This window comes from Homo sapiens, chromosome X (genome assembly GCF_000001405.40).
Source record: "Homo sapiens chromosome X, GRCh38.p14 Primary Assembly".
Lineage (NCBI taxonomy): Eukaryota > Metazoa > Chordata > Mammalia > Primates > Hominidae > Homo > Homo sapiens.
The window spans coordinates 72,572,936-72,593,410 of record NC_000023.11 but is presented as its reverse complement, the minus strand read 5'-3'; the positions used below and the strand labels follow the sequence as shown (position 1 = coordinate 72,593,410).

Below are 20,475 nucleotides of genomic sequence, written 5' to 3'. Positions count from 1 at the left end.
GAGATTGCGCCACGCCACTGCACTCCAGCCTGGGCGACAGAGCGAGACTCCATCTCAAAAAAAAAAAAAGTTCAAAGACTTCATCATAGAAACAGAGATAACTTTTGATTTATGTTCTTTCCTCTCCTCTTCCAAGTCACCTGGAACCTCTATGACTCCAAGTAGTGGGTCCTTTCCTAGTGCATATGATCAGCAGTCATCTAAAGATAGTCGTCAAGGTCAATGGCAACGCCGAAGAAGGCTGGATGGGGCACTGAATAGAGTTCCAGTTGGATTTTATCAGAAAGTATGGAAAGTTTTGCAGAAGGTGAGCATAATACATTGTTGATGTCTCATTTTTGCCCCTTGAAATTCTCAGTCTCCTTGGCAGAGATATGACATGACTAATATAATCACTGCAATTATGTAAAAGTCATAACTCAGATAGACAAAACCAAGAAGAAAACATAAAAATGAAACAGTTGATTTGTTATTGTGGCATTATTAATAATTTAGTCTCTTTCTATTATTGTTGCCATAGTCTTGTTTCTAAATTAGACTTTTAAAATCATCACCTCTCTGCTTCTGGCCATAGTTGGACATTGTGATACATTTGCTGCTAATCAAACGAATTTGTTACTAAAGAGCTAACTTTCTTTGTAGCTGTGGAGGGTTGTAAATGTTATTTGTAGCAACGTGCTATCAGTAGAGTAAAACAAATGTATCAGTAGAGTAAAACCAAGTATCAGTAGAGTAAAACAAATGCAGTACTTGGGGAGTTTGTGTTAGGAGTTATTACCTATATTTTTTCTTGGATGAAAACTACTAAATAAATGCAAAGTCATAATGATGGTAATAGTTCGGAGACTCTTTGATGTGACCAATATTTATTTTTCTTTTGAAGGCCTATTTGGCCAAAGAAATTTAAGGGCATGCCACACTATTATGGTGGTGACAGTTTTAGAGGGCCAAGAACACTATTATGCTCAGCATAGGTCTCATTCATAGTCTCTTAGGTGCCACTTTCTGCATCACTGGCTTTAATAAGGACCTGAAGATCACTTCATCCAGGACTTAAAACCCTTCAGTTATGTTTTTTCCCCTTTGGGCATGGATATTCTTCCAAGGACAGAATCAGGTGATCTTTTGGAAAGGTAAAAGTTGGTTCCTCAGACTATGGGCTCTGGCAATCTTCCTTTAAAGAGTACTGATAACTTGCTTTTTTTGCAGCTAACTTCTATAGCACAATGGTGACAAATATTATTTTATCTCTTCAGTTATGCATGGATTATGGCAATGTTCTATGTGCTCATACAGCAAAGAACAAAACAGATAATAATCTTCATTCTCCTTGAACTTATATTCTACTAGGGAGGAACAAATTATAAATAATAAACAGTAAATAAGCAAAGTATCTAGAATGTTAAAAGATGATAAGTACTGTGTAAAAACAAGAACAGGGTATGAGTATTTATGAAGGGATGGGATGCTTAGCTAGCAAATGTAGTAACAGTACATGTCCGATAAATGCATGTCTTGATTTCATTTTCAAATTAAGACTTTATGTTCAAAGAAAAGCACTTAAAATTTAAATGAAAATATATTGTTTTAAATCATTCATAAACCAATATCTCTCATATACAACATGCAGTGTACAGTAATTAAAATTGGCATTTCTGAAAGCTTTGTTATAAAGATATTTAGAGTTATACCCAGTAACAGATAGCTTTGTTGAATACTGTAATATGGAACAATAGCCAGTTCTATAAATGACTTTAAAATTCTAAAACTATTGGTGTGCTAGGAATGACAAATTTGATTTGTGTGAATACTCTTTAAATTCTGTAAAGGTTTTTTTTTCTTTTTTTTTAATTATACTTTAAGTTCTAGGGTACATGAGCACAATGTGCAAGCTCGTTACATAGGTATACATGTGCCATGCTGGCCCACTGCACCCATCAACCCGTCATTTACATTAGGTATTTCTCCCAATGCTATCCCTCCCCTCGCCCCCCACCCCATGACAGACCTGGTGTGTGATGTTCCCCACCCTGTGACCAAGTGTTCTCATTGTTCAGTTCCCACCTATGACTGAGAACATGTGGTGTTTGGTTTTCTGTCCTTGTGATAGTTTGCTCAGAATGATGGTCTCCAGCTTCGTCTATGTCCCTGCAAAGGACATGAACTCATGCTTTTTTATGGCTGCATAGTATTCCATGGTATATATGTGCCACATTTTCTTAATCCAGTCTATCATTGATGGGCATTTGCATTGGTCCCAAGTCTTTGCTATTGTGAATAGTGCCGCAATAAACATACATGTGCATGTATCTTTATAGTAGCATGATTTATAATACTTTGGGTATATACCTAGTAATGGGATTGCTGGGTCGAATGGTATTTCTAGTTCTAGATCCTTGAGGAATCACCACACTGTCTTCCACAATGGTTGAACTAGTTTACACTCCCACCAACAGTGTAAAAGCGTTCCTATTTATCCACATCCTCTCCAGCATTTGTTGTTTCCTGACTTTTTAATGATCACCATTCTAACTGGTGTGAGATGGTATCTCATTGTGGTTTTGATTTGCATTTCTCTGATGACCAGTTATGATGAGCATTTTTTCACATGTCTGTTGCCTGCATAAATGTCTTCTTTTGAGAAGTGTCTGTTCATATCCTTTGCCCACTTTTTGATGGGGTTGTTTCATTTTTTCTTGTAAATTTGTTTAAATTATTTGTAGATTCTGGATATTAGCCCTTTGTCAGATGGGTAGATTGCAAAAATTTTCTCCCATTCTGTAGGTTGCCTGTGCACTCTGATGGTAGTTTCCTCTGCTATGCATAAGCTCTTTAGTTTAATTAGATCCCATTTGTCTATTTAGGCTTTTGTTGCAATTGCTTTTGGTGTTTTAGTGATGAAGTCCTTGCACATGCCTATTGCCTAGGTTTTCTTCTAGGGCTTTTATGGTTTTAGGTCTAACATTTAAGTCTTTAATCCATCTTGAATTAATTTTTGTATGAGGTGTAAAGAAGGGATCCAGTTTCAGCTTTCTACATATGGCTAGCCAGTTTTCCCAGCACCATTTATTAAATAGGGAATCCTTTCCCCATTTCTTGTTTTTGTCAGGTTTGTCAAAGATGAGATGGTTGTAGGTGTGTAGTGTTATTTCTGAGGCCTCTCTTCTGTCCCATTGGTCTATATCTCTGTTTTGGTACCAGTACCATGCTGTTTTGGTTACTGTAGCCTTGTAGTATAGTTTGATGTCAGGTAGCGTGATGCCTCCAGCTTTCTTCTTTTTCTTAGGATTGACTTGGCAATGCGGGCTCTTTTTTGGTTCCATATGAACTTTAAAGTAGTTTTTTTCCAATTCTGTGAAGAAAGTCATTGGTAGCTTGATGGGGATGGCATTGAATCTATAAATTATCTTGAGCAGTATGGCCATTTTCATGATATTGGTTCTTCCTATCCATGAGCATGGAATGTTCTTCCATTTGTTTGTGTCCTCTCTTATTTCCTTGAGCAGTGGTTTGTAGTTCTCCTTGAAGAGGTCCTTCACATCCCTTGTACGTTGGATTCTTAGGTATTTTATTCTCTTTGAAGCAATTGTGAATGGGAGTTCACTCATGATTTGGATCTCTGTTTATTATTAGTATATAGGAATGCTTGTGAATTTTGCACATTGATTTTGTATCCTGAGACTTTGCTGAAGTTGCTTATTAGCTTAAGGAGATTTTGGGCTGAGACGATGGGGTTTTCTAAATATACAATCATGTCATGTGCAAACAGGGACAATTTGACTTCCTCTTTTCCTAATTGAATACCCTTTATTTCTTCCTCTTGTCTGATTGCCCTGTCCAGAACTTCCAACACTATGTTGAATAGGAATAGTGAGAGAGGGCATCCCTGTCTTGTGCCAGTTTTCAAAGGCAATGCTTCCAATTTTTGCCCATTCAGTATGATGTTGGCTGTGGGTTTGTCTTAAATAGCTCTTATTATTTTGAGATATGTTCCATCAATACCTAATTTATTGAGAGTTTTTAGCATGAAGGGCTTTTGAATTTTGTTGAAGGCCTTTTCTGCATCTATTGAGTTAATCATGTGGTTTTTGTCGATGGTTCTGTTTATGTGATGGATTACTTTTATTGATTTGCATATGTTGAAGCAGCCTTGCATCCCAGGGATGAAGCCGACTCGATCATGGTTGATAAGCTTTTTGATGTGCTACTGGATTCGGTTTGCCAGTATTTTACTGAGGATTTTCCCATTGATGTTCATCAGGGATATTGGTCTAACATTCTCTTTTTTTGTTGTGTCTCTGCCAGGCTTTGGTATCAGGCTGATGCTGGCCTCATAAACTGAATTAGAGAGGATTCCGTCTTTCTATTGATTGGAATAGTTTCAGAAGGAATGGTACCAGCTCCTCTCTGTACCTCTGGTAGAATTCGGCTGTGAATCCCTCTGGTCCTGGACTTTTTTTTGGTTGGTAGGCTATTAATTATTGCCTCAATTTCAGAACCTGTTATTGGTCTATTCAGAGATTCAGTTTCTTCCTGGTTTAGTCTTGAGAGGGTGTGTGTGTCCAGGAATTTATCCATTTCTTCTAGATTTTCTAGTTTATTTGCATAGAGGTGTTTATAGTATTCTCTGATGGTATTTTGTATTTCTGTGGGATTGGTGGTGATATCCCCTTTATCATTTTTTATTGTGTCTATTTGATTCTTCTCTCTTTTCTTCTTTGTTAGTGTAGCTAGCAGTCTATCAATTTTTTTGATCTTTTCAAAAAACCAGCTCCTGGATTCATTGATCTTTTGAAGGGTTTTTTGTGTCTCTGTCTCCTTCAATTCTGCTCTGATCTTAGTTATTTCTTACCTTCTGCTAGCTTTTGCATTTGTTTGCTCTTGTTTCTCTAGTTCTTTTAATTGTGATATTAGGGTGTCAATTTTAGATCTTTCCTGCTTTCTCTTGTGGGCATTTAGTGCTATAAATTTCCCTCTACACACTGCTTTCAATGTCCGAGAGATTCTGGTATGTTGTGTCTTTGTTCTCATTGGTTTCAAAGAACACCTTCATTTCTGCCGTCATTTCGTTATGTACCCAGTATTCATTCAGGAGCAGGTTGTTCAGTTTCCATGTAGTTGTGCAGTATTGAGTTAGTTTATTAATCCTGAGTTCTAATTTGATTGCACTGTGGTCTGAGAGACAGTTTGTTGTGATTTCTGTTTTACATTTGCTGAGAAGTGCTTTACTTCCAACTATATGGTCAATTTTAGAATAAGTGCCATGTGGTGCTGACAAGAATGTATATTCCGTTGGTTTGGGGTGGAGAGTTCTGTAGATGTCTATTAGGTGTGCTTGGTGCAGAGCTGAGTTCAAGTCCTGGATATCCTTGTTAACCTTCTGTCTCATTGATCTGTCTAATATTGACATGGGGTGTTAAAGTCTGCCATTATTATTGTGTGGGAGTCTGAGTCTCTTTCTAGGTCTCTAAGGACTTGCTTTATGAATCTGAGTGCTCCTGTATTGGGTGCATATATATTAGGATAGTTAGCTCTTCTTGTTGAATTGATCCCTTTACCATTATGGAATGGCCTTCTTTGTCTTTTTTGATCTTTGTTGCTTTAAAGTCTGTTTTATCAGAGACTAGGATTGCAAAACCCTGCTTTTTTTTGCTTTCCATTTGCTTGGGAGATCTTCTTCTATCCCTTTATTTTGAGCCTATGTGTGTCTCTGCACAAGAGATGGGTCTCCTGAATACAGCACACTGATGGGTCTTGACTCTTTATCCATTTTGCCAGTCTGTGTCTTTTAATTGCAGCATTTAGCCCATTCACATTAAGGTTAATATTGTTATGTGTAAATTTGATCCTGTCATTACGATGTTAGCTAGTGATTTTGCTCGTTAGTTGATGCAGTTTCTTCTTAGCATTGATAGTCTTTACAATTTGGCATGTTTTTGCAGTGGCTGGTACCGGTTGTTCCTTTCCATGTTTATTGCTTCCTTCAGGAGCTCTTGTAAGGCAGGCCTGGTGGTGACAGAATCTCTCAGCATTTGCTTGTCTCTAAAGGATTTTATTTCTCCTTCACTTATGAAGCTTAGTTTGGCTGGATATGAAATTCTGCGTTGAAATTTCTTTTCTTTAAGAATGTTGAATATCGGCCCCCACTCTCTTCTGGCTTGTAGAGTTTCTGCCGAGAGATCAGCTCTTAGTTTGATGGGCTTCCCTTTGTGGGTAACCCATCCTTTCTCTCTGGCTGCCCTTAATATTTTTTTCCTTCATTTCAACCTGGGTGAATCTGACAATTATGTGTCTTGGTGTTGCTCTTTTTGAGAAGTATCTTTGTGTTGTTCTCTTTATTTCCTGAATTTGAATGTTGGCCTGCCTTGCTAGTTTGGGGAAGTTCTCCTGGATAGTATCCTGCAGAGTGTTTTCCACCTTGGTTCCATTCTCCCCGTCACTTTCAGGTACACCAATCAGACGTACGTTTGGTCTTTTCACATAGTCCCATATTTCTTGGAGGCTTTGTTCGTTTCTTTTTACCCTTTTTTGTCTACACTTCTCTTCTCGCTTTATTTCATTAATTCAGTCTTCAGTCACTGATATCCTTTCTTCCGCTTGATTGAGTTGGTTACTGAAGCTTGTGCGTGCGTCACGTAGTTCTTGTGCCGTGGTTTGCAGCTCCATCAGGTCACTTAAGGTCTTCTCTCCACTGTTTATTCTAGTTAGCCATTCATCTAATCTTTTTTCAAGGTTTTTACCTTCCTTGTGATGGGTTCAAACATCCTCCTTTAGCTCAGAGAAGTTTGTTGTTACCAACCTTCTGAAGCCTACTTCTGTCAGCTTGTCAAAGTCATTCTCCATCCAGCTTTGTTCCGTTGTTGGTGAGGAGCTGTGATCCTTTGGAGGAGAAGAGGCGCTCTGGGTTTTAGAATTTTCAGCTTTTCTGCTCTGGTTTCTCCCCATCTTTATGGTTTTATCTACCTTTGGTCTTTGATGTTGGTGACCTACAGATGGGGTTTTGGTGTGGATGTCCTTTCTGTTGATGTTGATGCTATTCCTTTCTGTTTGTTAGTTTTCCTTCTTGCAGTCAGGTCTCTCAGCTGCAGGTCTGTTGGAGTTTGCTGGAGGTCCCCTCCAGACCCTCTTTGCCTGGTTATCACCAGCAGAGGCTGCAGAACAGCAAATACTTCTGCCTGATCCTTCCTCTGGAAGCTTCGTCTCAGGGGGCCCCTGCCTGTATGTGGTGTCATTCAGCCCCTAGTAGGAGGTGTCTCCCAGTTAAGCTACACGAGGGTCAGGGACCCACTAGAGGAGGCAGTCTGTCCTTTCTCAGAGCTCAAACACTGTGCTGGGAGAACCACTGCTCTCTTGAGAGCTGTCAGACAGGGACGTTCAAGTCTGCATAAGTTTCTGCTGCCTTTTGTTCAGCTATGCCCTCCCGCTAGAGGTGGAATGTACAGAGGCAACAGGCCTTGCTGAGCTGAGGTGGGCTCTACCCAGTTCAAGCTTCCCAGGCAGCTTTGTTTACCTACTCACGCCTCAGCAATGGCGGACACCCCTCCACCAGCCAGGCTGCTGCCTTGCAGTTCGATCTCAGACTGCTGTGCTAGCAGTGGGCAAGGCTCTGTGGGCATGGGACCTGGTGAGCCAGGCATGGGATATAATCTCCTGGTGTGCTATTTGCTAAGACCACTGGAAAAGTGCAGTATTTGGGCGGGAGTGTCTCTATTTTCCAAGTACAGTCTGTCACGGCTTCCCTTGGCTAGGAAAGGGAAATCCCCCAACCCCTTGCGCTTCCCGGGTGAGGTGATGCCCCACCCTGTTTTGGCTTGCCCTCCGTGGGCTGCACCCACTGTCCAACCAGTCCTAATGAGATGAACCAGGTACCTCAGTTGGAAATGCAAAAATCACCTGTCTTCTGCATTGATCACACTGGGAGCTGCAGACTGGAGCTGTTCCTATTTGGCCATCTTGAAATGGAGACCCAAGGTTTTTTATAAACATCTTTTTTATTAATCAATCATAACATGGCAAAATTGCACACTTGCCATTTCTGAAAAGTGATCCAAACTCTACATCCACAGATGAAAAATTCTTATAGAATTTTGTGAAAAGCATACATTTTGAGTTAAAAAAATTTTATAGCTGTTGGAGTGCCATGAAATTAATACTTGCATTTTGGACTGCTGTAGTTTATACTTTTTATATGTTTCAAATCAGGTGTGCACCATTTGTACTTAGAACACCACAAAATGAAGTATCTAAAATCCCTTGATTTTAATATGTGTTTTGGTTTATTAACAAATGATAGTAATTTCTTACACATTTTTGGAAATTACTTGTATAAGAATATATGCATCTGCTTATGGATACAGTGTGTAAATAAAACTTGTGCTCACCAAACTATCGCAAGGACAGAAAACCAAACACCGCGTGTTCTCACTCATAGGTGGGAATTGAACAATGGGAACACTTGGACACAGGATGGGGAACATCACACACTGGGGCCTGTCATGGGGTGGGGGGAGGGGGGAGGGAGAGCATTAGGAGATATACCTAATGTAAATGACGAGTTAACGGGTACAGCACACCCACATGGCACATGTATACATATGTAACAAACCTGCACGTTGTGCACATGTACCCTAGAACTTAAAGTATAATAATAAAAAAAAAACAAGTGTTAAAAAAAAAAGGAAAACTTTTGCTCACTAAAATATAAGTAAATAAATAAATGCATGTCTTGAGTTTTTTCCTATGGCCTAAAATTTTTTCTAAGGCCTGTTTGTGATGGCCGTGCGACCTAGTATGATATCTTTCCAGATAGTCTCTGAATATTTGGGACTAGTCTATCCCAAAAGATAGAGCTTTCCTACTCATTCCATTTCCCTAAGTAGAGGATGAACCTTAGGTCTCCTATAGTCCAATCCTGCATCTTGGCACTTAGGCATCACAACTCCATGGCAAGGGCACTTGGACTGCAGAGCCCCTTGCTAGTCTGTGATTACTCAGCATATACCACATGAGGCACACTTAGAAATACAGCGTCTCCTCATAGCCTCCCCGTTGTTTGTCTATCCTTGGTGATATGGTTTTTGGTGATATGGTTTTTTTTCTGTTTTGCAGTGTCACGGACTTTCTGTTGAAGGGTTTGTCCTTCCTTCCTCTACCACTAGAGAGGTAAGAGTCTCTTTCTTGCACATTTATGTGACTGATAACTTTGCTGGCTAAAGTATCCCAGTGATCACTTACTTTTCAAAGTGACAGATCCATGCTTTTATAAATCAACTGAACATGAAATGCATTTGAAGAAAAGACAATTTTTTTAATGGAAAGAGAATATTATAGAATAAGTATGGATTACTTTATATGAAGACAAATTCTTTTAATGGTTGATTAAGTTAGGCCGGCTTATGTGAGCGTTGTGAGGGTTAGACAAGGCAGAGGGATCAAAATCTATGAATGCATGACTTCTCATGTCTCCCGTCCTTCACATTCCTACCTTTCTCTAGTAGGATGTTTGTAGACCATTAGAACATAAACCAGTGGTTGTTAGCTACAACTATATGTTGGGGTAACCCGGGTTCCAATTTCCAATTTAGTGGATTAGAATCTCCAGGGATGGGACGTGAGCATCTGTATTTTTTTTAATCTATAGAATGATTCTAATATATAACCGTGGTTGGAAAATATTACCATGAACCACAGACATAGATTATCAGATGCTTTTATATTTTCCTTTTTGTCCAAACTACACAGAAATTATAAAAACTAGCTTTTACACAGAGTCAACAAAGGAGCTAGTGTTAGCATGATTGAAGTAGTAAGATTCAATAGTAGAAAGTTCTCAAAAATGCTGGGGTTGTTTCAGATAGCATCTTGGGGGACAGGTACAGAAAGCTAATGTTATGCTTCAGGGCTTCACTATTGCCTACAGGCCTTTTCTCTAATCAAGAATGCCATGTCCCCCATTTGTCTTTTCTCTACCTTTACGCAAGAGTGAAATGTTCATATAATTAATAATACATACCTGAATAGTACCTTTAAGAGTCTTCAAACATTATTTTTACATTTTTAAATTTGGCCTTAAACACCATTATGTAAAATAGGTAAAGAAGGAATTATCATTCCTAATTTATGGATAAGGAAACAAATTTAGAGATTAATTGTCTAAGGTTGTATAACTAGTAAGTAACAAAGATAAGACTTGAACCCAAGTCTTTATACTCCAAATCTACATTGCCTCCCTAGAGGATATACTCAATACAAGTTTACCAAAGTATACTTCTCAATCCCCTTCACCCCAAAATAACTTTACATTTCTTAATGCCCTTTTTAATCTAATAGTATATGGATGTTTTACATAATTCTAATTTTTATGTATTATACATACAATTTTAAGTTTTACCTCAGTTTTTCCTTTATTTACAGTGATCAGATTTTAATAAACAGTCATGTAAAAACTCATGAAGTTGCTATGCCATGATATGCCGTTCCCATGTTTAGGTTACCTCTAGTTTTACACTTGTGACTAAAGCTACTATAAGTACTCTTCTATATGGAGCTTTCTTCCTCTTTTGAATTACTATCTTAGGATGAACTCTCAGAAATAGGATTATGGGTTAGAGGGCATGGACACTCTTATAGCTCTTGTTATGCGTTGCCAGATTGCCCTCCAAAAAGATTGAAGCAGTTTACTCACTCAGTTATTTTGAAGGGGGCTGAATCAATGCTCATGGCTACAGTGTTTTTACTGCCTTTCAGAGCAGGTGATTGATGTTTCTTGGATGATGGACTCTTAGGAAGTGATTTTCTTTTTCTCTATCACAGATGACTCCAGGTGAGATTAAATTCTCTGTTCATGTGGAGTCTGTCCTGAATCGTGTACCTCAGCCAGAGTACCGTCAGCTGCTGGTTGAAGCCATCCTTGTCCTCACCATGCTGGCAGATATTGAAATTCATAGCATCGGAAGCATCATTGCTGTGGAAAAAATAGTGCATATTGCCAATGACTTGTTCCTTCAAGAACAGGTAGGCAAACCTGTTGTTTTCTCAATAGAGAAATGTTTTTACTCCAACCTGATGACATTCAGAGGTCTTTGAGGAGCCACGGTCACTTTCTTGTGCCCTCTTCCTCATACTTCTTTTTTGGGCCCCCTTTGTAGCGGCTCTGAGCTCTGTTTGCAAAAGAAGTAGGCCGCAGGAAGACCTCTGTCTTTCACCATGTGTTTTTGGTTTGTGTTAGAGGGTAAAGTTGCCTGGAACTCAGGAGGCTTTATGCTTTTCCCTGAAAGGCCCTGAAGCATACCATTAGCATCATATTTCAAATTTCTGATCACAGTGCTTTTTGTAGCTTTAAGGACTTAATAAGAAACTATTGGATGGCATATCCTTTCTGAACTATTGAGGAAAAGAGATTTGGTTTTAGTTTTACTTTGCTTTTGCTATTCACCTATAGGAAAATAAGAAAGTGAAACTTTTACTCCTACATTTTTCTTATTTTCTTAATAAATCTTCTTCCAGGAAATTATCCACATTCAAAAATACAAACTATTGAAAGTGTCCCAAATGTTGCCCGTATTAACAGTAGGAGCACATAAGTGAAGGACAGGCACTGTTGGCAGTAAAAAAATTTTCAAAACATATAATAGCTGTTTTCATTCTGTTAGCCACTGGGAGGAGATGCAAAAGAAAAATATCCAGGGCTTTCTAAGAAGATTCTAATTTTAAAAATTATGGATTGCTGTCAGTCCATGTATCTAAAAATGTGTTCCCTTTTAGGCATAGACCTCTAGCCTCAGAAAACTTAGTCTATTTGAATTAAGTCGCCTTAGAAAGAAATCATGATCAAATGCAGGATAAAAGAATACAAGCTGAAATTAGTAGTACTAGAAGGAGTCAGACCAAAGCTCTACTACGGTGATTTGTGTTAACATTTGTCTATTAATAGGTATGACTCAATAGATGAATGATTATATTTAACTTTTAGAAATTGATCATAATGGGGAAAATTCTAAACAATTAATAATTTTTAAATAATTTACATGATTTGGGGACCTAGTGAAAAATGCCTGCATACAAACTCATATTCACCCTTTTGTCCATAAACCTATTTCTTCCTGGATAAACAGTCTAGGGCCCAACTAATTGGTGTTGGGGAGGAGGTTCTGAATTATGCTAATCAGGACTTTACTTAGTAAGATTGGTAATTTTTCCTTTCCCCTATGTTCTTCTACCCTTAAAAACCAAACAGAAAACCCTTGGCGCAGATGATACCATGTTGGCAAAGGATCCCGCATCTGGCATCTGTACTCTTCTGTATGACAGTGCACCCAGTGGCAGGTTTGGCACCATGACCTACCTCTCCAAGGCAGCCGCCACCTACGTGCAGGAGTTCCTGCCCCACAGCATCTGTGCCATGCAATGAGGGCTTTGGTTCCTGGCTTCTGGGAGCCTTTTGACAGCTGGTCCCTGCCTCGGTTGATTGTGCATGGAACTAAAATGTTATTGCCTAATCACTCCAACCCTGCCCCTTTCTGTCCCATCCTTCCCAAGAAGAGAGAACTTTTTCGATAAACTAACTACTGTAGAAGAAGTGAACACTTACCTGGAGGCTCACCTTGCAGAACCAGTGACAATCTTATGAGTATAATGAACACTCAGCCAGGCCTGTCATGATTGGCTTTATTTCTTTCATCATTCATAAAAGTTTGCATGTGTTTTTATTCTCTAGATCTGTTACCAATATAGTTTTCTAACTCCTGTTTGGGGAGCAAGTGTTAATAATAACTTATTCCTAAAGCTTGGTTTTTCTTTTTTGTGATTTTATTGTGTATATGAGTGGTGGGTACTTTGGGACATTATTTCAAATGAGTAAACTCTAAATTGTTAAATATTTATGCTGCTATAAATTAGAATTACCTATTCTACGTGCCTTTTCTTAGGAAAAGAGAGTACTGGATCATGGTTTTCTTCCTTACTTACAGGTTGCTTCACACTGAGTGATAATTTAAAATTGTTTCTATGTAGAATCATTGTCTCTACTGTTGCCCTCTCTGTGTCTGCACACATAATGCCTCTCTCACTTTGGTGAAATATCAAAAAAATGCAAGTACAGCATGCATATTTAAGAATTTCTGAACTAACACTTGAAATCACATTTTATAAAGATTGTTGGTACTCAGAGTTGTATTTGCAGCAGAAAATGCAGAATAACCCAGAAATGGAGCCCGGAGCCCAATTCCAGAGAGGAAGGGAAAGAAGAGACGATGCCTGGACAATGTCTTATACATAGGGAACAGAGAGGGAATCAGAGGTGGCTTAGTTCCCTGAAGACAGCCTTATGCGCTTAATCCCTGCCTTTGAAAAATGGGCCAATACACAACACAGACAATAATTTGAAGCGTCTGTATTCAGCAAAGATAAATACAGCAGTCCAGTCTATAGGTGCTCTACTTAGCATTCTTTTCATGTGCTCCTGGTCTCTGTCTCACTCACCTACTTTCTACTACATCCAACTCAACTCCCTGACACCCTATCCCCCCATCTATTCTTAAACTCTTTCATATATATTTTCACTTCCTAATTCTAGTGTACATATCCCTGTATATCATGGTATCTGTGGGCATATGTCTGTTTCTTATAAAGACACATATTTGTGTGTGTATGTGTGTGTGTGTGTGTGTGTGTGTATAAGCATACATGGGAATTTTTCTGAATGTAAGCAGTTTTGATGTGTCTGTATATCAATCTGTATCTACATTTGATGGACTGAGTAAGAATGTTGCATGTGAGAGAAGGGATGTGACTGTGGACTCAGATTGACACACACAGATTGGTGGAAGAATAGCTTCAGTCCTCTTCCTTCATCCCATATGTAGGTAGCCTTGCTTGACAAATGTTTCTTCTAACTCTCCTTCTTCTGAATTGTGCAGAGACTCTGTTAACTTCCCTTTTTGCACTTAGATAACTTCCTACTTCAACCCCCTCCTTTATCTTGGATTTCTAAAGTTTTTCCCCAATATTGGGAATGGTGAGGGTGGGGATGAGAGACTCTCTGAACAATTCTTGCAGAACCAGTGACAATCTTATGAATATAATGAATAAGTAAGCATATAGTAGGGTGATAGAATACAGATAGTAGAAACAAAGAGAGGACAGCAAACCTTTTCAGCACTTCTCTCAGAGCAAATGGAAACACACAGTAAGTAGCTTTCTGACTACATTATTTTCTGGTCACTTTTAAAGAAAGTTTACAACCTGTTCTGAAACTATTTGTCTTTTCACTGGTTGTAAGTGTACCCCAATCTCAGGGAGTATATCTGTAGTGCCACAGGCAAAAGATCCACTCCTTCCCACACTCATTTGCCTGAACTTACTCGAAGGGCTGCATTTCTCTGAGTTTACGAAATTGTGTCATTATGGTCCCCATACAGTGGTATTTAACTTTTAAAGCAACTTTTAAGAAAACTCGACTTGTTTTTTGTTCATTTTAAGTGTGTGGTACTAAAAAGACATGTTAGACTTTTTTTAAAAAAGCACTTATGTTTTGAAAATAGAATAAATAATAAGAATTTCCAATTAAATCATGTCTGGTGCCAATGTGCAAAACTTCACATGTGTTTTTGTGATTGGAGTTTATTTCATGGCTTTATTCTACATACTCTGCTTAATTATACAGTACAGTCAAAGCTCATTCATTGGGTTGAAGTAGAATAATATTAATATATTAATACATATATAATATATTATACATTTCATAATATGTTAGATAATATATGTAAAGAAATGCAGTTTAATCATTCAAATACATACCCACTCAAACAAGGCTTACTAAATTCAAGCGGGCTTATTGACATCTGTAGGGAACATTTTCTTTTCTTTTCTTTTCTTTTCTTTTCTTTTCTTTTCTTTTCTTTTCTTTTCTTTTCTTTTCTTTTTTTTTTTTTTTAAGACGGAGTCTTGCTCTATCGCCCAGGCTGGAGTGCAGTGGGGTGATCTCGGCTCACTGCAACCGCTGCCTCCCGGATTCAAGCGATTCTCCTGTCTCAGCCTCCCGAGTAGCTGGGATTACAGGCATGCGCCACCACACCCAGCTAATTTTTTTTGTATTTCTAGTAGAGACGGGGTTTCACCATGTTGGCCAGTCTGGTCTCAAACTCCTGATCTCAGGTGATCCGCCTGCCTCAGCCTCCCAAAGTGCTGGGATTACACTCGTGAGCCACCGCGCCTGGCCTGTAGGGAACATTTTCTGATGAATGAGTAAAACATTTTTACTCAGCCTTTCAATTGTGTACAAATGGTGCTTCTTCCCTAATGAAGGGTATTTTAAAACAACTTGTTTTTCTAAATATTAAAAATATTTGGCAGAATCTTGTTTGTTTATACTATTCATTAGCCTTTTCTATAACAGGATTTATCCAGCAAGGATGAACATTGTCTCTACAGTTCCATCCTGGTTAATGAAATTTTACTACATTCTGGGAATCTTACACAACTGGTGGGGCAAAAGTTGTTCTTCACCACAGCTGGCAAAACCTCTGCCATTCCTTTTTCTACTTACCAAGTACCTAGTGTCTGCACTAATGCAGTGGAGATTATTTTCCACATGTAGTCTTCATTTCCTTTTTATTTATTTAATTTTAAAAAAATACAGCCATCAATTTTTATTCTTATATTTGGTAGACATTCATTTCCTTTTTAACTTGAGTAACCTCAGGTGTTGGTTTGTCCAGGGCAGCCCCCATTTATGCCTGTTTTACTGGCATAATTATCAATAGCACTGTGTCACTCTCAAAAAATGTCTCAGTTTGAAAGATATGGTCACCCTATATTTAGCAGATGTGTGATTTCTTTTAAGGCTAAGCCAAAAAACCAAGAACTTATTCTCAAACCACTAGTAGTACTTGTGCAGTAGTGGTATGGGGGTAAGGATGACAGTAGGGGGAAACTCCCTTCCCCACCAAATATAGAAATATTTGGCATAATGGCTCTTAAATAACCAATATTTGAGCACATACCAAATGCCATTGTTATATAGGCACTTAGCGTGAGCCATTTTATCTTCACAATTGCCATGTAAGATAGATACTGCCATCTTACAAGTAAGCTACCTGAGGCACTGAGGGTTTAAGTAAATTGCCCCAAATCAATCATCTAATAAGTGATAGAGCTGGAAGTTGAACCCATGCAGTCTGACGCTAGCGATCACATTCTCAACAATGACACTCTCCAAGGAAAATGACATTAAGGGGGTGGTGTGACAAGGGTCAGTTGAAGACAGTTGAAGTGTCACTGGACAGATAGTGAAATGAGCAGAGAAGACTCTGCTCATTCACTGAAGGGTGGTGCCCTTGTAATGTGTTTGCCTCCCCTTCTGGGGAAAAGCAGGGGAAAGCACCAAAAAAATATGGCACAGCCCAACCTGAACTTACCGGTTCGAATGTTACTTTTAGCAATAATGATTGAGGAAAGTGAGTCAAGTAACTTGCCCTGGGTCACCACCCTAGCAAGCTTTGAAGCCAAGATTCAACCTACTTCCTGTGACCTCAAGTCCTCCAACTGCAAATAAAGTGCATTGAGAAGGGTTTTCTTCCCAGTTTAAGAACCATATGGGTGTTACGAATGTGGAAAATTGAGGTGAGGGACCTGTGGCATGATGTGTGCTCTTTCTTAACCATGAGCAAGCGTCTAGCCGCCCTTTGAGATTAGCTGCAGGAATAGGTTGCCAATTCCAGAGCATTGTGCAACAATTTATCTTTCTCCATAGCTGAATCATCTTGCCACATTGCATGGGGTACTTGGATAGTGTTTCCAGTTTAGAGCCATTCAGCTATTTGTTACTAGATCAGAAAGGACACATGAAACAATACCTTTTCATGTCATCCAAGAAGAGTCCAGAATTTAGGGTATCAGTTGGCCAGTCTATCTCCTGCCCTCTTTCCGCTGCCTATCCCTGAAGGCCCAGAACAAGTCTCATTTCTCCTTATGTTGCCCGTCATCATGATCTCACCTTTCAGTCAACTCCTGTAGCTTCTCCTGTCTATAAACATGTGCAGTTTTCTCTTATCTTAAAAAAATTTCTGGGCTCCGACGTCCCCTCAAGCTGTTAGACTAACTCCTTCCTTTCACAATCACATTTTTTCAAAGAGGAAGCTACACTTAACTGTGTTGGCTTCACTTCTTAAACCCCCACAATCTGGCTTCCTCCCCACCTCCTGTTTTGTTTTGTTCCATAGGGCACCAGTGAATTTCTAATGACAAAAAGGGGTCTTTGACCATTCCTTGTCTTCTTTCTGACATCTTTTTCTCCTCTAAACTCTTACACACAGGCATTTCCAAAAATGACACTCTTCTTCCTAGCTCAGAGGTCTTCACCAGAGTCTGGGGCAGGTTTTGTGACATGATCTGATTTACTTTTTTTTGGAGGTTCACTCTGGTGGCTGCAAAGATAATGGGTTGTAAGGCAGCAAGAATGGAAGCAACGCCCAGGTTGATACTGCAGAAAGTCTAAGTGAGAGATAATAGTATCCAGACTAGAGTGGTGGCAGTACAGAGTGAGAGAAGTGAATGTATTTAAGGCATGTCTTGGACATAGAACCAATGGAAATTTCTGATGGACTGGATCTGCAGGTGAAGGAAAGGAAGAAACACAAATAACTCCCAGGTTTCTGACTTAGGCAACTGGATAGATGTTGATATCTTTACTGAGCTATGAAAGATAGAAAAGGAGTGGAAAGAACTTGGGTGGGGAAATTGGGAGCTTGGTTTTGAAAATGTTGTTGGATATGACTGTTAGGCATCCCAGTGGAGAAAGCCACATCCCTTGCCTAGCTCAGCCACTCTTATGACTTCAGTTTTCTCCTCTTTATATGGAAAAGTGTGTGTGTGTGTATCACTGCAATTGTTTAACCCACTAATTTCTGAAACACTTTTCAACACTTTTAAAATCAGAATCTATGTCTATTCTGCCCTACTGTATGAGTTCTTCCTCCCGATTGCCCTCTTTCTTATATTGCTACCTCTAGTCTTTTCTTTACCCAGAGTTTACATTTAAGAGTTTTCAGCAACCCTTTTCCATCTTCCTCCCTCTCACCAATATCCAAGTAATAAAAAAGTCCTGTTGAACCTACCCTGTACATTATTTCTCCTTTGTTCCCATTGCCCCCACCCTAGTTTAAAATCATTATCACTTCTTATTTGGACCATTGTGGCACTCTAACTGCCCCTAGCCTTTTAATGACTAATCTTTCCTACACACTGCTGCTATAGAAATCTTTTTTCCTTACTATTTCTGTCTAAATATGTTTTCCCATTTCCCACAGAATGTAGTCTATTCTCTTTAGCCTGGTATTCAATGTTCTTCATGATCTGGCCCTTTTAGCTAAACTCGACTAGAAATTTTCCCTTTTGTGTTACTGTTTATGCTGTTCATTCTAGTCAGCATGCCCTCTCCTGGCTCCCATCTTCACCAAGCAAAATCTTGCCCACCTCCTAAGACCCTCTCAAATGCCATCAAAGATGAATTCTAGTTACCATTTATTAAATGCCAGTTATTTAGTACTTAATGCTTATTTATTAAGTAGGCTAAGCATCCTACATTCATTGACTCTGCATTGCCTTTGGTTTCTTGTGTACTTGCCCCATCTTCTGTATAAGAATGCAAATTCTGGCTGGGCGCGGTGGCTCACACTTGTAATCCCAGCACTTTGGGAGGCCGAGGCGGGCGGATCACGAGGTCAGGAGATAGAGACCACGGTGAAACCCCGTCTCTACTAAAAATAAAAAAATTAGCTGGGCGTGGTGGCGGGCGCCTGTAGTCCCAGCTACTTGGACAGGCTGAGGCAGGAGAATGGCATGAACCCGGGAGGCGGAGCTTGCAGCGAGAGGAGATCGCGCCACGGCACTCCAGCCTGGGCGACAGAGCAAGACTCCTCTGTCTCAAAAAAAAAAAAAAAAAAAAAAAGAATGCAAATTCCTTGAGAGCAGAGATCACATCATAATTTACCTTTGAATCCTCAGCTGTACTGTACACTTAATATCAGATAAATGTTTGATGAATGAATGACTGCAGAGCTTTTAACTAGTTACTATGGGAAGACATAAATTAAAGAAACATAAGATCTTACATTCTAGTTACAGAGCACATCACCAAAACACCCCCAAGATTTTCAGAATAAGTATTGAAGGGATACAAAATGGAGGGTGAACAAAGTTATATCATAACACAAAGTCATCCTGGACGAATCAAGTTTATATAATAAAGGGAATGTTCAAAGGCTTCAGTGTCAGGCTGACCTAATTTTGAATTCCTACTTATCTGCTTGTTAAGTATGTGATTTTGAATGTTGTTTCTCTAAACTGCATCTGTAAAATGGGTGTATTGCAACCTCCTTTATAGGACTGTTGCAAGGATGAAATGAGATAATATGGCCAATGTGCATGTCACAATCTTCAATAAATGTTTAAAGTCTAAAAAGCAAGCCAGACTTTAAATATAGTAAGGATATTAGGTTGTCCCAGTGGTGTTAGTCAGTCAGTTTAGGTTGCCATGAGAATTAAGATCCTGAGCACTGGCCAGCTTGTATCAGATCATAGGGGCCTCCAGGAACCTCCAAATGCTGATGGTAATTCTAAAACCGCCTCAGATAGTCTTAAACTGGACCCTCACACCAAACCTAAAATATTTCCCTAATCTATGTTTAGCTGCAGAAACAAGAGGAGGTAGGAGGAGAAGAGCTGCAGTTTCCAAACACCACTGCTTGCAACCTTCCTACCACATGAATGTTCAAGGAGTTACATTTGACATCATTGCTTGATCGGAATCTACCAAGCAATTTCCACTGCACCAGCCAGTCTCTTGGGAAAGTACTATCAGATTTGCCAGAGTAAATTATTGAGATTGTTAACTCTCATGTGGACATGGATAGTTAATGATGAAAAGAAATGAACTATAAAATTGCATCACAGAATTTACTGTGTAAACTTTTCAAACCATTTGTGCCATTAAATAGCGCCCCCACCAAAAAAAAAAAAAAAAAAAAAAAGCCTATCCTTAGGATAGGCAGCTGATGTAGCTGGATGGTGGGGGCTCTAGGTGGCCACGTTCTATCTGTGTTTATATGGTTAAATGGATGAAATGGATGTGTTTGCAGATTGAAACAATTCATAAAGAGTTGAGGCTACTTTTTTTTTTTTTTTTTTTTGGTCTTAGCGCTGAAACTAAAAATCGCGGTTATTTTAGTGTTTAGCCCCGGCTCTTCCGTTGCTCAAACCTCCGGAAACTACATCTCCCAGCATGCTGTGAAACTGGTCTGACTTCATCTCAAATGGCCCCGTAGGGCAACAAGGATGGTTAGTTTTGACCCTACTTATTTGTGCCATAAAAACAATCGATCCTAATTGACAGCTATTTGGACTTTTACATCTGCCAAACCCTTTTCCTTGAACTGTGGTCACTAAATGAGGGGAGTCTGGTCTGGGAAGTCCCATCCA

At 39.2% G+C, this 20,475-nt stretch overlaps 1 protein-coding gene across 8 annotated transcripts in view; it reads left to right on the top strand.

Moving 5' to 3' along the window:
- Positions 1–14,597, top strand: part of PHKA1 (phosphorylase kinase regulatory subunit alpha 1) — a 135,493-nt gene extending 120,896 nt beyond the window's left edge. For all 8 annotated transcript variants that reach the window (NM_001440788.1, NM_001440787.1, XM_047442160.1 and 5 more), the window contains 4 exons: positions 137–307; positions 9,109–9,162; positions 10,813–11,013; positions 12,236–14,597. In NM_001440788.1, the coding sequence (NP_001427717.1) occupies positions 137–307; positions 9,109–9,162; positions 10,813–11,013; positions 12,236–12,409 (600 nt within the window). In that variant the 3' untranslated portion in view covers positions 12,410–14,597. The remainder of the gene's footprint in view (positions 1–136; positions 308–9,108; positions 9,163–10,812; positions 11,014–12,235) is intronic.